This window comes from Homo sapiens, chromosome 13, assembly GCF_000001405.40.
Source record: "Homo sapiens chromosome 13, GRCh38.p14 Primary Assembly".
Taxonomy (NCBI): Eukaryota; Metazoa; Chordata; class Mammalia; order Primates; family Hominidae; genus Homo; species Homo sapiens.
This window is the reverse complement of record NC_000013.11, coordinates 114,049,204-114,065,872: the sequence shown is the minus strand read 5'-3', so window position 1 is coordinate 114,065,872 and position 16,669 is coordinate 114,049,204. Positions and strand designations below refer to the sequence as shown.

Genomic DNA, 16,669 nt, shown 5'->3' with positions numbered 1-16,669 from the left:
CAACATTTCAAAATAACCCCACCCATCTTGAACCACAGGAGGCTGCAACCCAGTGTGTGTGGGGCTTCCGCTGAGACCTGCCGTGCTGGGTGGTGAGTGGGCTGTGAGCTGACCACGGACCCCTGCCCTCCAGCCTCTGACCTCTGGGAGCCAGGGCTGTGTGACCCTGCAGTGCTGGGTGGCGGGTGGGCTATGAGCTGACCGCGGACCCCCATTCTCCAGCCTGCGGTCTGTGGGAGCCAGGGCTGTGTGGCCCTGCACTGGCCATGTGCTTCTGATGGGTGTGTTTTGCCTCCTGTCCTTTGCGGAGATGGAGCATTTTCCCTGGCCAAGTTGCCCCTTCTCTGTGGGGCGCCTCTGAGGATGAGTCAGGCAGTGACTCAGGACCGCAGAGCTCAGCCCAGAGGCTGGCTTGGGAGCCCCAGGGCTGCTTCGCAGACCCGGTTTGGGGTTTGGTTCCTCTTCACGCAGCCTTTACCCTCTACCCCGAGGCTGGGGCAGCCCTGGCAGCTCCCGGCTCCCCCCAGCGTTTGGGAAATGGGCCCCGAGCCTGCGGCAGAGCACAGAGCTGGGAAACCAGGTTTATTTTCTTATGATCACGTGATGGGAGCAGCCGCAGGCGGGATGGGGCAGCGCCAGCCTTGCGCAGATGCTGGGAAGTGACTCAGGGAGGAGAAGGCGGGGGTTTCTCTGCTGGTCCCAGCTGAGCCCCTGCTCCAGGCTCCAGGAGGAGGAGGAATTCAGTTCAGATGGTTTCCCCTCATCAGAGCCACTACTTAAAGGTCAACTCTGTTTTCTGCAAGAGGTTTTTTCTTTTTTCCCCGTGAAAGTTTGCTTGATTCTGTGAAACTTCATTTGCACTTCTTCCAGAAATGACTGAGGGAAAGGAGACTTTGCCAGGGTCTCTGCCTCAGAGGGAGAGGCTGCTGCGTGCGTTAATTTCCTTAGGCCACATGGCAGGATTTCAGGCGAGCCTGGTCCTCTCAGGCCGCACTTTTTCTTTATTTGGAAAGAGAGTTCCAGAGCCCTCGGGCGGTGAGTGGGGGCCGCCTGGGCCAGGCATTCATCCCGCATCTGACTGCTGCTGACCTCGGCTGGAGACAAAGCCGGCCTGTCCAAGAGATACCCCGAGGTTAAGCTGCTGATGGGAAGGGGGGCACCTGGTGGCTGTGTGGCCCCTTTGAGTCCATCAGAAAGAAGAGATTGTCCGGCACAGGCCACCGAACAGGATGGGGGATGGGAGGAATGCCCTAGCGTTCAGCCGGTTTCATTTTTCTTTTGGAATACGCTTCAAACTCTGCTGCCCAGGAAGGAGAAAGCACAAACCTTCCTGCTGATGAAAGAAAATGGGTGCCCCCACCATGAGACCCACGGACAGCGGGGGGCTGTCCGTGGGCCTGGGCTTTGCACCTGGGAGTGTTGGTGCTGTGTGGAGGGAACTGACCCTGTCCTCAGGCTGAGCCTGGAGTCCCCACAACAGCATAGGGGGGAAAGCTGCTGTCCTCAGACTCCGCGTGGCCTCCAGTGATGGTGCTGTGGCCACTTCCTGCCGGGTGCTCACCGTGGGTTCTGGGTGGGGCTGGGAGGACATGGGGCGTAGGCCATTCTGCCCACGAGGTGACGTGATCGAGGTGGACGTGGCTGGCCTCGCAGCCTCTGCTCCTGCAGGTCCTGGGACGCTGTGTCCATCTGCTGGAGCTCATTTCAGAGTTGGCTGATCACAGGTCCATAGTCACCCACTGGTGACAAATTTAACAAATTTGTGGGGGTTTTTTTAGTTCAAAAAAGATCCTCCTTAAATGTTGTGAAATAATATGTCTTTTAAGTTGCAACACACATTCAGAAGTTCCCGGAGGGTTAAATCCTGAGCATGAAAAGATGGTCATTCTAATAGAAAACAGGCCCAGAGCATTTCAAGAAAAAATGAGATTTAAAACTGCTCATAAAAAGATGGACATTCCACCTCACCAATGAGCCAGACATTTAAAATTTAAGCAGGTTTTTGCCACCGGTTTAGCAAACTGTAGAAATATTTATAAGACGGCGTATGCTGGGGGTGGACACTGGTCCAGACTCCCTGGAGGGTTCTGTGGCTTTGTGTTTCAAAGGCCTCAGGACAGTGCACATCCTTGGAGGAATTTATCCCACGGGGACAATCAGCCACTGCACAGATCTGCGTTCCCAGGGTGCTCACCCCTGCTGCTCCCACCACACAGCGTGCACATGGCAGGGGGACCTGGCACTGCTGTCCACGCACACACGTGCCGTCTGACCCCAGCGTTTTATCAGCTCTTTGGAAAGTGGCCCATGGCCTGATGTGAAAGGAAAAAGCTGACTCTGTCACAGGGAACATAACCTCACTTTTATTTAAAAAATTTATCCGTATTTCCATTCGTATCTTCTATATTTATAACATAAATATTTACTATTATTGTTAATATATTTGTATTATAATATAATGAGTCATTATAGTATGAATATACTTATATTTGTATTATAAATATTGTATTTATGTTATAAATGTAATACAAATATATTTATATTTTGTATATTTTAAACCTATAACATTTATATATTTTATTCTATTTTATATTTTTGGAGAAAAAACTCCAGGAGGATGTTTCCTGGAATGTTAATTCCAGATTTCACTTTCTGATTTTTTTACGTATTTAAAATTTTGTTTCTTTAAAAATAGCTTTATTGAGGTATAATTCAAGCACCGTACAATTCACCCATTTTGAAATGTACAATTCAGTGGTTTTTAGTATATTTGCAGAGTTGTGCAACAATTGCCACAGCCAATTTTAGAACATTTTCATCTCCCTAAAACGACACTCGCGCCCTGTAATCCTCCAGTTTCCGGCCTGCAGCCTCTCCTGGGGCGGCAGACACGGGTCCCCGTTCTGTCGCCGGCTGTGCCTCTCTTGGGCATTTCGTGTCAGTGGAAGCGTCTGGCCCATGGCCTCTGTGTGCGTGGCCTGTTGGTTGGCACCACATTGTGGATGCTGTGGTGTGGGGCCAGGGTCCAGGCGTCCTTCCTCTCCAGGGCTGAGCACCGTTCTGCTGTTGCTCCCTCAGCAGCCGAGGCCCACCTGCCTTGTTTCCACTGTCTGGCTGTCATGACTGAGGCTGTGAGCACGCATGTCTGAGTCTGCGTGCGAACGTGGGCTGTGAGCACGCGTGTCCGAGTCTGCATGCGGACGTGGGCTGTGAGCACGCGTGTCCGAGTCTGCATGCGGACGTGGGCTGTGAGCACGCGTGTCTGAGTCTGCGTGCGGACGTGGGCTGTGAGCACGCGTGTCCGAGTCTGCGTGCGGACGTGGGCTGTGATGTCTATTGCTGCACACCTGGGGGTGGAACCACTGTGTCCCGTGGCGACTGTGTGTTGAACGTCGGAGGAACCGCCAGCCTGTTTTCCGTGGCGGCTGTGGCCACTTGACCTTTGCACAAGTTGTGTGTTTGGATTCGCATCTCCACCTCCCTACCCTTGTTACTGTCTCTTTGATCACAGCCATCCCGGTGGGTCTGATTTTCTTTGTACAATGCGAGCCCCCCCTCAATGAATTTTTGCTTAAAAAAAAGCAATTTGTTGTTTTTAATTGAAATGAAAGGAAGCATTCTTTCCTATGCATGTGTTTTTTTTAAAGCAAACAAAATTAAAATCATAAGTAAGTAAAAAAAAAACCCACAGGAAAATTCTAAAAACTTGCACATAAATGGAATTACGAATCAACTCATCGTGGAAAATCGTGTCTTGCTGGATGTAGGTTATAGATGTAAGGTTAGGCACAGTGGAAAGGGAGATGGAACCTGCAGACCCCAGACGTGGACATGGTCCAGGACGGCGTCAGTCCGACCCCCGCCTTTTCTGCCCACCGTGGGATCTGGAGCCCCCTGCCCACCATGTCCCCTGAGCTGGCTTGACCTTGCCGTCCTCCCCGCCCAACCCCTGCGCCGTGTGCTCTGTGCAGACACGTCCCCTGTTGAGTCTGAGATGGAGTTACCACCGCAAGCACAGGTGACGGCTGAATCCCACTGCCGCCTCCGTGGATAGGGCACCAGAAACCCTCTGGAGAGAAGGCAGCCTGCCACGCTTTGTAATGAGCAGTTCGCTTAAGGATCGTGTTAGACTCCATGGCTAGTATAGATTTCAAAGCTCGTATTTCTTTCTTTCTTTTTCTTTTTTTTTTTTTTTTGAGACAGAGTCTTGCTTTGTCGCCCAGGCTGGAGTGCAGTGGTGCGATCTCGGTTCACTGCAACCTCCGCCTCCCAGGTTCAAGTGATTCTCCTGCCTCAGCCTCCTGAGTAGCTGGGATTACAGGCGCCTGCCGCCATGCCCAGTAATTTTTTTTTTTTTTGTATTTTTAGTAGAGACGGCGTTTCACCATGTTGGCCAGGATGCTCTCAATCTCTTGACCTCATGATCCACCCACCTTGGCCTCCCAAAGGGCTCCTGTTTCATAACCCATCACCCTTAAAGAGCCGTTCTCTGAGGTGGGCCTGGGCGCCTGGGGTTTTTAGAAACCTTTTCAGGCAACCGTAGTTTGCGGTTCTAAGAGGAAAAACATCAAGAGACCTGAAGAACCCAAGCCCCACGCATCAAGGCAGCGTCCCCGGCCATGGCGGAGGGAGCCCCGCGCATCGAGGCAGCGTCCCCGGCCGTGGCGGGGGTGGAGAAGGGAGAACTGAGTTGGGTTTTGGTGTGGCTATTTCTGTGGTATTCCCTCGAAATATTTGCCACTGAAAAAATGAAAAAACTCTAAGTGCTTTTAAGTGAGTAATTTCTGTGCGAGGTCTCGGGAAGAAGAAATGTCTCTGTGTGCAGTGCCCAGGCTCCATCTGCCGGCTGTGGGGGCTCCGTCTGCCGGCTGTGGGGGGCTCCGTCTGCCGGCTGTGGGGGGCTCCATCTGCCGGCTGTGGGGGGCTCCGTCTGCCGGCTGTGGGGGCTCCGTCTGCCGGCTTTGGAGGCCCCGTCTCCCGGCTGTGGAGGTGGCAGAGCCTGGCTGGGGTCTTCCCGAGGGCCCAGCCTCCTGCTCTTCACAGGGAGCCTCAGGGAAGGTGAGGCCTCTGCCTCCCTTTCAAGCCACTGGACTTGAGCTGACCACTGATAACACTGCAGCTCCACCGCGGGCGAGCGCAGCGCTGGGGGACAGTCCTGGCCTGAGCTCCGGGCGTGCGCGGCTCCAGCTGCGTCCTGCCCGCCTCTCGCCTCACTGGAAGCAGAGCGGAACGGGGCGTGTCCGGTCCTGGCCCTTCGCGTCCCCGCAGGCCCGTCACCTCCTGCAGGAGCCCCTCTGGCTTCCCGGCAGTCTTGGCTCTGCCAGAACTGAATTCCTGTCGTCCCCATGAGGACAACCAGGATTTGCTCGGCACCGTGGCCTCTCGGGCTGACCGCTGCACCTTGCTTGCAGAAAGCCCCACCTGTGGAGGCTTGGGTGACCTTCCCTTCCTGGTCCACTGTGCCAGGTCTGGGCAGCTCCTGGCTGCTGACCTGAGACAGGTGATTCCTCCCTGCATGCCCACTGCCCCATCCGTGCATCCGTCCATCCAGTGTCTTGCACGGGCCTGCATATTCCCAGCTGCTGTGGTGAAATGTCTGCTCTGCACCACGTGACCTCGGCTGCACCCTGACCTCTGACCTCGGCTCCCAGCATGCTCCGGTCCTGCCGTGCCCTGCCCAGGCCACGTCAGCCTTCTCCTTGCTCCTACGTCTTTACCACACACAAGCCCTGCTGCCTCGAGGCCTTCGCACCTGGTGTCCCTCTGCCTAGACCCCTCCTGCGCTCTCCGCGCCGTCCATGGCCTCATTCATGCGTTCCCTTGTCCTCCTGCGGGTCTCCTCACCGTCCACAGCGCTGTTCAAGCGCTCACTCGTCCGTAAGCCTCCCTGTCCCCCGAGCGAGGCCACAGTGCTGCCCCCGCCAGCCTTGCCCGCGTTGGACATTCGTGGTTCTGTGTGCTCTTTGGCTGGCTCCATGGGGCCAGGACTTTGCTTCATTGGCTGCTATTCCCACAGTCTAGAACGGGGATGGGCAGCTGAAACAGTCATGGAGAGAGAGAGCGCTGTGGTTTCTGGGTCCAGTGAGCCACGCCTGGCGGGGGCCAAAGACATCGAAAGTGCTCCCCGTTGTTTGGTCCTGGTGTGTGGGAGGCCCTGCCATGTGCTTGTCTCACTGTGCAGGGCAGAGGAAGAAACCTCCAAGCCAGGCAGTGGTGTGTCCTGGGGAGGCCGCTTTGGGGGCAGAGCCACTGCCCTTCCCCAGCCGAGCGCCCTCTGTGCCCGCAGGCTGCACTGTGGAGAGGGCGGTGTCCTGAGGCTGAGAGATGAGGGAACTGGCCTCTGGCAAGGCAGCGTTGAAACGTGGACGTCCCCATCTTCAAAGTCGTGCTTCCCCCGGCAAGGCCCGTGTGGGCACCTGTGCCTCCTGGGTACCTGTGCCTCCTGGGTACCTGCGCCTCCTCGCATTGGCTTCAGCGACGTCTGTCACAGATTCTTACATTTAGACGTGCCATATAGTCTTCCTGGTGGAGACCAACGTCCCCTTGGCCTTGTGAAGCTTACCAGGGCCTGAATTAGGTTGGGGGGAGCAGCTGCACCTGGGGACTGTGCTGTGAAGATGCAGGAGGGCCTGACGGCGGCTCCTCCAGGCGGGACTGTGCTCTGAAGATGCAGGAGATGCAGGTGTTTGGTTTTTTGAGACAGGATCTCGCCCTGTCACTCAGGCAGGAGTGCAGTGCTGTGATCACAGCTCACTGCAGCCTGGAACCCCGGGCTCAAGCAATCCTCCGCTTCGCTGCAGACGTGCGCCACCAAACCCATCTAATTTTTAAATTTTCTGTTGAGTTGGGGTCTTGCTATGTTGCCCAGGTTGATCTCTAACTCCTGGGCTCAAGTGGCGCTTCTGGCATGGCCTCCCAAAGTGCTGGGATTACAGGCGTGAGCCACTGCATCTGGCCTGGATGCAGGTATTTAAAAGAGCTTAGGGAAGTTCTTCGAAAAAGGCTCTGGCCTTCAACTCCCACTTCTACTCCTGATTTTGGTTCTCATTGGGATATAAGTTTCAGAGCACTCCTGGGCTCAGGAGAAGAGCAGCTCCCCTGCGAGGGGCAGGGTCACCTGTGTCCACAGCAGCAGGACTTGGTCCCTGGGGACTGCGGGTCGGCATAGTCCAGGGTGCCCATGACCAGTCCTCCGAGGAGCAGGGCCTGGGAAGGGCATTGTCGGGCAGGCGAGGACGGGCATGGTTGCTGGTCTGGGCATCAGTGGCATTGCTCTGAGAGGGAAGGAGATGCTGTCCCAGCAAGGGTGGCCTCAGGTCTGGACCCTCAAGTGGACACCGTGTTTTGGCTCTAGGACTGGCATGGCCCAACAGGATTTTCTGCAAAACAGGAAATGGTCTCTGTGTTTTCCGTCCGGTCTGGTGACCACAAGTCACGGGCTGGTGAGCACCCGAGGAGCTGAATTCTGTGGTGGGAATCCAGGTTCGGGAGAGGTCGTCAGGCAGGTGTGCAGACAACGTGAGTGGTGAGCCTCACGCCCGAGGAATCCGCTCTTCCTGCTGGACGCGTGGATGGTGGTGACGGCCTCGCCGCAGCAGCAGCACCTGGAGCTGGCCCCTGCCGGGTGGGTGGTCTCCATGGGGCTCATGGCATCTCGGGGGTCTTGGGGGGATGTCACTCTGGTGCTCCGTTTGCAGGTACAAACCTGCCATTCTAGGAGCTGACTGATGATCCCGGTCCTCGCCCCTGTCCTCACACCCCTGAGTGGTCAGGCAGGGGCTTCACTCGGCTGGTTCTGGCCTCCGTGCTAAAATGAATGAATAGGACAGGACAGTGAGGAAAACGCACACCTGGGGAAGTGACCTGGGAACTCACCACCCCCACCCACCTCCGGGACTCCGACCTCCCAGGGCCTCAGCCAGGCCCTGCCCTCTTCAGCACATTGGAAACACCTGCATCTACCCAGTGTGCGCTAGGATGGCAGCTCTCCAGCCTCCATCCTGCAGGCCGAGCCCGCACCCCAGGGAAGCCATTGTTCTGGGTCCCCTCGTGCTGAGCGCCCTGGCCAGAGGTGCCCCTTCCAGGTCTGGGTGTGGTTGGCGGAGGTTTTATGGGTTTTAGCTGTGGGTTCATTCTCAGAGGTTAACTGCCCCCAGAAGGTGGGGAACCGCCTCCACTCTCCTCCTTGAGCTGGGGGTTTTACATTCTTCCAGGAGTTTCTTCAGGGCTCCCTGGCTATGGCATCGTGGCCTTGGGTGTCAGGCTGGCTCTGTGCACAGTCATTGTGGGGAGAGGTTTCCTTCCTGTGGGGGCCTCCACTGTCCCTGGAATCGCCCTTCTTATTCCCTAAATAAATCATCGGTCTAAGAAGCTGAACGAACCCTCTATTCTGGCACAGAGACTGGCTCCAGCTTTCCTTGAAATCCTGCAGAGCCTTCATTAAAATGAGTGCAAGGCCTGTAGCACGGCCGCCTCTCCGGACCCCACTGCCCTGCAATGCCTTCTGCTCGTCCAGCTCGTGGGAATGAAGCTTGGTCACAGTGGTTGGTGGCTCAGAGCTCCGTTGATAAGGCTGGCCGGCCGCCTGCAGATGTCCTGCCTGGTTTCCTGAAAGACTTGAGGTGACCCGCAGGAAACAAAGTTAGTAATAACTTTATTACTTTAAGTTTAAAAAGTTATATGAAATAAGAAGAAAAACATTAAAATAGGCAATTGGAACCACTAGAATAAACGACATCAGACATGCAAAACACTCACCCATCGCCTGTGCTGGAGCCTGTTCTGGCTCCAGGGTTCTCAGCTGCAAATGTGTAAAATGGAACTGTGAGTGTGACGTTCCCCTTCTTCAGGAGGGGGGACCCGTGGTTCCCAAGGACAACAGCTCCTCTTAGCAGGGGGGGCAGCCTGACAGAGGGCCCCAAAGCGCTGCCTCCCCTGCTGCGATTCAGGAGCAAGGTTCTAAAGCCATTGCTGGAGAAATTCCTGGGTGGAGGCTGGAGGAGGTCTTGCTCCCCAGGGGTAGTGCAGCAGGGCCATGCTGTGTTGCTATAAACCGCTTTTACATTTAGAAAGGGGCACGTCCAGTCTGTGGTGATAATTTTATGGAGTTCGTATGTTTTCTTGTAGCTTCCTCTTTCTGCTATTTTTATCTCTTTTTATTGAATGGATTTCTGGTTTATTTATGAATTTTAAGCACCTCAATTTCCACGGACAGCTGTCAGCACCACCAGAAGCCTCACGGGACCCTCCCAGGTGCCCAGCCAGCACGGGCCTCCCCCCACCGAGCCCCCCACTGCCAAGCAGAGTTACAGAGAGAGGAGCCACTTGTGCAGAGCCTTTGGCAGAGCAACTGAACACCCCGCTACCGGGCAGCGCCCAGGGACGCCGCACTCTCAGCCCTGCTGCCCAAGCCCTGGGGTTAGTTTCGTTTCATCAGATGTTGGAGTGCCTCGGTTTCCCACCCTGTGCATCAGGGTGGTGAGGAAGTGTGCAGGGTTAAATGCCAGGTGCGCGGCGCCCGTTTGTGGGGTGTGCTTAGCGCTGGCATCCTCATCTCACCGCCCCTCACCACGCACCGGACACGCACCAAATATGCATCAGACACACATCAGACACACACCAGACACTCACCACTCACCAGACACGCATTGGACACGCACTGGACATTCATCGGACACACATCAGACATGCAATCCAGCCCGACCCACTTCCTCCTCCCTGCCTTCCTGCCAGGCAGGCACAGGCCCATGTGGTGGGGTCCTCAGTGCCTGTGCGGGGGCGGGGGGCTCTCGGGAAACGGTGACGCGCCAGGTGAACCCCGAGGCCTGGGTTGCTCTGAAGCTGCTGCAGCTTCCTGACAAGCCGGCTGCTGGAGTTTGTGCCAATGGAGGGCGTCCGTTCCATTCTCTGGCAGCTTGGCTATCGGTGCCGGTGGTTCTGAGGTTCCTCCATGGTGAACGAAGCTTGATTTACGCCTTTTGGTTACGCATTTGCCGCAAGGCCCAGAGCTGTGCGTGCTCCCGCTGGGCTTCTTGTGTGAGATGCACCGCAGCCAGGACAGCCTGGGCACCTGCCACTCTGGAGCAGGAAGTGAAGCCTCCAGCCCTTGGTTCTTGGGGCTCTGCCGGGAGCGAACGGGGCTGGAAACGCCAAGTCCAGGCTGCTTTCACACATTCAAACACCACGGCTTCCTGCCATCACTTAGGCCTCAGTGGCCCTGAAAGTTGCTCTAGGACGTACAGAAGAGGCCGTTTTGTCGTTGTAAAAATCCCAAATGTTTTGTGGATTACTATTAATTGTTAACGCTTGTCCTGTGAGTAGCTCGTCACCTGAGGCCTTGTCGTGAATATTAAAATGCACGTCTGGTGTCCCTTTTGGCTTCGAGGTTGATAGTGGTTTTTCCTGCCAGTGGGGACGCTGTCCGCAGAGCACCAAGCTTCTCCAGGGAGGCCACAGGGCGCTGCCTGGGGAGTGTGCGTCCTGCCCCGAGATCCTGCAGCTGTGACTTTACACAGGGTGGAGGCAGGGTCACGACCCCTGCGCCTTGTTATGAAAGCAGCGCATTGTGTGGGGCGCATCTGTGGTGCCTTTGTGTACATGTGCACCCAAGTGCTCCAGGGCACATGCATGCACGCATGAACATGCACACATGCCTGTGAGCACACATGTATGGGCACATGCATGGCACATGCATGCACACACCCATGCACACGTGCCTGTGGGCACACACATGCACATGAACATGCACACCTGCCTGTGGGGACACACATACGGGCACACACATGCACACACAAACACGTGCCTGTGGGCACACACGTACAGGCACATGCATGCACACACCCACACACATGCCTGTGGGCACACGCACCCATGGGCACACACGTGCACACACCCATGGGCACACACGTGCACACACCCACACACACATGCCTGTGGGCACACACACCCCTGGGGGTCCCTGACATCAGATCTCGGCGGTGCCCACGCAGACGCAGGAGATCAGAGGATGGCTCGCTGCGTCAACGACCAACGCGAGAATGTGTTTAAAGGAAACGTGACTTTCTAATGGGCCTTCATTAACCAGGATGCTGCTACAATGGAGTCGGTGGAAGTCCCTGAGCATTCTGCCTTCATTGAAAGATAAAGTGATGTTTCTTTTGTGTGTAAATGGATACTGCTGTGTTTCCAAAATGCTTAAAACAACCTAGGCATTTTAGGCTTCCCTTGGAAGATTGTTTTATGACAAAAAATGGTTTTCTGAGTAAATGTTACCCAGTCTCTGACCCAGTTATAAAAATACTGAAATCAGTGAAATCCAAATGAAATGCCTGTCATTAAGGCCGCTGCAGGGAGAAGGGGTGGGGCCTGGACTCTGGACCCCTCCCACCTGGACTCTGGGCCCCTCCCACCTGGACTCTGGGCCCCTCCCACCTGGGCTCCGGGCAGCAACAGTCGCCCGCCCCAGGTTTGGGCTTATGCCTGTGCCGTATCTCCTGGTTTAATTTGCATTTTCTCAAGGGCTAATGACATGGAGCATTTTTAATACATTGTTGGCCATTTGTCTTTGGTGATATGTGTGTTCAAATCTTTTGCCCCTTTTTAAACTGAATTATTTGTCATCATTTATTGAGTCATAAGAGTTCTTTATATATTCTGTATATAAGTCTTTTATCAGATAACTGACTTACTAATATTTTTTCTAGTCTGTCTTTTCACTTTTTATTTTTTTAATTTTTATTATTTTTTTGAGACTGAGTTTTGCTCTTGTCACCCAGGCTGGAGTGCAGTGGTGCAATCTTGGCTCACTGCAACCTCTGCCTCCCAGGTTCAAGCGATTCTCCTGCCTCAGCCTCCCGAGTAGCTGGGACTACAGGCGCCCACCACCATGCCCTGCTAATTTTTGTATTTTTAGTAGAGATGGGGATTTGCCATGTTGGCCAGGCTGGTCTCGAACTCCTGATCTTAGGTGATTCGTTAGTCTCAGCCTCCCAAAGTGTTGGGATTACAGGCGTGAGCCACAGCACTGGCCCTTTTCACTTTTTAAATAATGCTTTTAATGCAAAAAAGTTTTTAATGTTTTTAATTTTGATGAAGTTTGATTTTCCATTTATTTTTCTTTTGGCACTTGTGCTTTTGGTGACAGATCTAAGACATCTTTACCTGACTTTAGGGTGCAGGTTCATTCTCATTTTCTTCTGAGAGGCTAGTAGCTCCAACCCTTACACCCTTACAGATGGGTGCGGGGTCTGAGCTCATTTCTGTGTGTGGCTGGGGTGGGGCCTGTGCCGTTGGTGACTGTGTGGACGCCCCCTGGCCCAGCACGTTGACCTTCCTTTGCTTTCTATCAGAATGGTTCCTCCTTGAATAACTTACATCTTTCCTATTTTGGACCTTAGCATCAATGTGCATGAAAGTGGGCTTGTTTTAAGTTCTGAGTTGGTGGTAGCTGTGCGTGCACCGCAGTAATCGCCAACAGGTCCGGCGTGGGGAGGAAACTAACCCCACCTGTGCCAGCCCAGGACAACAGGAAGGTTTGCTGAATGGCAAAGCCCACTGGCTTCTGCTTCTTTATTGGGGTTGTGGTTATTTCAAGTCTCCTCTGTGGGGCGGCTGCATCTCCTGGTGACTCACGCATGGGCGGCCTGAGCCATGCACTCTGTAAGCACAGTCAGCAGCGGGGTCCTCTCCCCCAGGAGCTAGGGCGGCTGGGCAGTCAGCAGCAGGGGCCTCTCCTCCGGGAGCAAGGACTTTAAGTACAGTCAGCGGCGGGGGCCTCTCCCCCAGGAGCGAGGACTCTAAGCACAGTCAGCAGTGGGGGTCTCTTCCCCAGGAGCCAGGACTCTAAGCACAGTCAGCAGCGGGGGTCTCTCCCCCAGGAGCGAGGACTCTACGCACAGTCAGCAGTGGCGATTTCTCCCCCAGGAGCGAGGACTCTAAGTACAGTCAGCAGCGGGGGTCTCTCCCCCAGGAGCCAGGACTCTAAGCACAGTCAGCAGCGGGGGTCTCTCCCCCAGGAGCGAGGACTCTACGCACAGTCAGCAGTGGGGATTTCTCCCCCAGGAGCGAGGACTCTAAGTACAGTCAGCAGCGGGGGTCTCTCCCCCAGGAGCCAGGACTCTAAGCACAGTCAGCAGCGGGGATCTCTCCCCCAGGAGCGAGGACTCTAAGCACAGTCAGCAGCGGGGGCCTCTCCCCCAGGAGCGAGGACTCTAAGTACAGTCAGCAGCGGGGGTCTCTCCCCGAGGAGTGAGGGCGGCTGGGCAGTCAGGACTTTGTACTGGATCTCTGGATAAAAGGAGCGGTCCAAGGCACTGGAGTGCTGTGTTTTATGTTTAATGCATAAAGGGAGCCACTGCCTGCCCCAAACCAGGTACCTTCGAAACATCACGATGGCCCTGAGGCTGCACCTAGACCTGAGCACGTAGCATGGAAGTCATTCTGGCAGTGGCCGTGGTCTCTGTGGAGGTCTCAGCTTCCGGGCCGCCAGGCAGCCCAGTACAGAAGTTCATCTGTGCAGTGCAAAGGCTCGAGGTGGAGGCCGGGGAGCAGCTACGAGGCCCTTCACCCCACAGGGAGCTGCAGGTTCATGTCTCATGCGTGCCACACAGTGCAGGGCATTCTTATGGCATGTTTAAAACTAAGACCACACGTGTGTGCCCCGGGGGTGAGGCGCAAGCGTGGCCTGTGTTCTAACTGGCGCTTTTCTTTGTCTCACTAGCCCGTTTTACGGAGAAGACTTTTACTGTGAAATTCCTCGGAGCTTTCGTCACCTGTCCTTCTACATTTTCGATAGAGACGTTTTCCGGAGGGATTCCATCATAGGTAGGTGATGAATGAGCATTTACTTCCCCTTTTCTGCCTGTTCTGTACCAGGCGAGTATTAGCATTTCAGTCCAGAGCCTGGCTGGATGGTGCTGAGGGGTCGCTGCAGGGCTTGAGGTCACAGCAGCCCTGGGTGTTCCTCCTGATCTGCTCTTGGGATCTGGCCTGGCATCTGTGGTCCCTGCTAGAGCATCACACCAGGCTCAGGTCAGTGAGCACTGCCAGTCGAGGCTTCCATGGCCCCTCAAGGCAAGAGCACAGCATCTCTGGCCCTCTTCAGACAACTTCCCAGGGCTGTTCCCCGGGGCATCTGTGGGGGGACCTTTGCATGGATGTGGGGCCTCCCTCCTCACCACGTCTTGGCTGTCCCTGTCCCAACTTTAGTCCCCACAGTGTGGGCACAGGAAGGGCGGGTGGGGGTGGGGGCATGTTGCCTCAGTTTCCCCCTGGTTTTTGGGGCAATACTGTTACTTCCAGGAGATGGTGTGTTTGGAGCAGGGGTGGGGCTGCTCTTGGAGAAAGCTCATGGGCAGCCCTGCCTGGTATCACAGGAAGGCGGCATCCTGTAAGTTGTGGGGCCTCTGGGCAGAGTGGACTTCAGGTTACTCGGGGAGCTCCTTGTTCCTAAATGCAGCCAGAGGACCCCGTCAGGAGCAGACCTCACGCAGCAGGCGTGGGAGGCTGAGGGATCAGGCTAATTCCCGCCGTGACGCTGGGAGAGCCAGGAAGGGAGGAGGGGTCCTGTGGCGCCTGAGCTCACGCCCAGGACGGGCGGCCGGGGAGCCAGTGTGTACTGGCTGCCACAGCCTGAACCCAGACCCCAGGTGGTGCAGGCTCCTCGTCTTCATGGCTGCCGGGATGCTGAGTGGGACAGGGCGAGAGGAGGAGTCCCCCAGGGGGACCCCCAGCTTGGCCCCAGGCAGCCTGAGGGCCCGGGGGTGCAGGAGGCCAGCGAGGCCACGAGGGTGCTGTGCGTGGGCGGGGTCCCGGTCCATCTGACGCTCGCTGCTCACACTGGCTCCTCACACCGTGTCACGGCCGCTCCACCCCACGCCGGCTGCCCCCTTTCCCCAGCGCTCACCTGTGTCCCTCAGCTGTGGGCTTTCTTCATCGTCCCTGTTCCTCTGTTTGTGAGCCATGGACCAGGATCTGTGATCTGATCCATTCCCAGTGCTTGGCACACAGAAGTGAGAGGCACGGCCAAAGGTCCACCTCAGAGCTTGAGTGTCCTAAAACCCAGCCTGTCCCCACTGGGCGGCCGGCAGCTAGTGTGTGTCAGCACGACGTTGAGAGAGAGAGGGGGCATGAGAGAAACGGGCTAGTAGGTAACGCGTAGGCTGTCTGCACTCTGCCATGTCCCGGGCCTCCACAGCAAGTCCCCTGACAGAGATGAGATGCCTATCCTGACCAGTCTTGCTCTCTGCCTGGCATTGAGAGGGGCTTGGCTGGGTGAGAGGCCCTCGGGGCCGGGCAGGGCCTCACCTGGCATTGATAAGGCCAGTGCCCCCTCACCATTGCAGGGGTCGGGACCCGGACATTTTTGGGACTGTTGTTCACTGTACCCAAGTGATTATTCTTAGAAACTGCTGTGTTTTTCATAGAAGTCTCCAGAGTTTGTTTAGAAAATACATGGAATGGGTCACATGGATCTCAGATAATTGACATTTGACTTCATTTTGAGCGGGAACACTGTGCTGGGTGCTTCCGCAGCGGACACCCTGGCCCTGAAATGCGGCTGCAGAAGGTGTCTGAGTGCAGCGGGCACCTGACCCCCCTTCAGGGTCTTGCTGTGCTGGGCTTCATGGAGCCTTGTCGGTGAGATGGTCTTGAGGGTCCAGCGTGACCCCTGCACCCCCTTGCTCAGTGTCTGCCTGGGAGGCCCTCAGGTTCAGGCCCATAGCTTTATGTCGCGTTCAAGCTGGGTGCTGCGGAAGGGTTCCCTCTTCCTCTCTCCCTCTGACCAGGGCATCGGCTCCAGGGCTAGTGGCTGGCAGTTCTCCCTCCTGCCTCCGGGCTCAGCCGCTGTGCACCCCACTCCTGAGGCACCTCCTTCTCCATCCCCATGTCCTGCCATGCCCACCTCTGGGACTGGGGCCTGCTGCAGGAGATGGCCTCCGACCCCGCGGCATGGGTGGGCTGCCCTCCGTGACCTGCCTCCCCTGCCCCACTCGTTGGTTGTGGTTCTCTTGCCTGTTGTGCTGTGTCCACTGGACAGAGCTTCCTGGAGCCCATGGTCCTGCAGGGCAGGCCTGTGTCTCGCTCCTGTGTTCTCAGCCCCTGCCAGGGGCCTCCAAGGGTGTTCTCAGAAGAAAGGGAGGCATGGAATCCAGATTATTCAGCGGAGGCTAATGGTGTATCTGGCGGGGCTCAGCCTGTGCCGGGCGCCACGCGCGAATTGAGGTGTGACCGTGTGTCAGGCCTCGTCACCAGCTCCGTTTATACTCGAGAATCCACAGGGACTTGATTCGTTCTCGAAGGTGTATGAGACATTTTTTGAGCGACAACCCTAAGGAAAAAGAAATTTAAAAAATTTTTGCACATTTTAGTAAGAGAAGCTGATCAAGTTAGTTCTGGAGTTATATGCTCTGAAAATAACCAAATAAGATGTTTATTAATCATTCTGTTGACGTCGTCTGCTAGTAGTTCTTGGTGGCTTTACGATTATGGTGACTGGACTTAGATGTTTCACTGTGGCTTTCGCAGCTATGAAAATGGGTGGCTGTCTGGATCTCCGGTAACGATTTATCTTTATGATGGTAATTATGTTGTTACCGGGCATGAAACACCAGGTTCTGGGGAATGCGTTTCTGGGTGGAAGTGCGCGGTGGCCACTGGCTTCCTGGCTGCG

At 55.7% G+C, this 16,669-nt stretch overlaps 1 protein-coding gene across 15 annotated transcripts in view, besides 3 other annotated features; it reads left to right on the top strand.

Annotated features, from left to right (window-relative positions):
* RASA3 (RAS p21 protein activator 3) overlaps nucleotides 1–16,669 on the top strand; it is a 154,841-nt gene that overhangs the window by 66,751 nt on the left and 71,421 nt on the right. For 8 of the 15 annotated variants that reach the window (XM_047430157.1, NM_007368.4, XM_047430155.1 and 5 more), the window contains one exon: nucleotides 13,718–13,821. Coding sequence is in view for 8 of the 15 variants with exons in the window: in NM_007368.4 (NP_031394.2) it covers nucleotides 13,718–13,821 (104 nt within the window). In the remaining 7 variants the exon portion in view is untranslated. Of the gene's footprint in view, nucleotides 1–51; nucleotides 7,625–8,398; nucleotides 8,641–9,087; nucleotides 9,418–13,717; nucleotides 13,822–16,669 lie in introns of those variants that run through there. The other 7 variants (XM_047430161.1, XM_047430162.1, XM_047430160.1 and 4 more) reach the window with 7 other exon arrangements.
* Nucleotides 95–324: an enhancer, noted in NCBI's record as "active region_8049". NCBI's record gives its function as "activates an Ori minimal core promoter by ATAC-STARR-seq in GM12878 lymphoblastoid cells {active_cell/tissue: GM12878}" and the evidence as "EXISTENCE:reporter gene assay evidence [ECO:0000049][PMID:35858748]".
* Nucleotides 685–744: an enhancer, noted in NCBI's record as "active region_8048". NCBI's record gives its function as "activates an Ori minimal core promoter by ATAC-STARR-seq in GM12878 lymphoblastoid cells {active_cell/tissue: GM12878}" and the evidence as "EXISTENCE:reporter gene assay evidence [ECO:0000049][PMID:35858748]".
* Nucleotides 1,492–2,011: an enhancer, noted in NCBI's record as "H3K27ac-H3K4me1 hESC enhancer chr13:114829337-114829856 (GRCh37/hg19 assembly coordinates)". NCBI's record gives its function as "activates a minimal SCP1, AML or CMV promoter by ChIP-STARR-seq in primed H9 embryonic stem cells {active_cell/tissue: H9 hESC(primed)}" and the evidence as "EXISTENCE:reporter gene assay evidence [ECO:0000049][PMID:30033119]".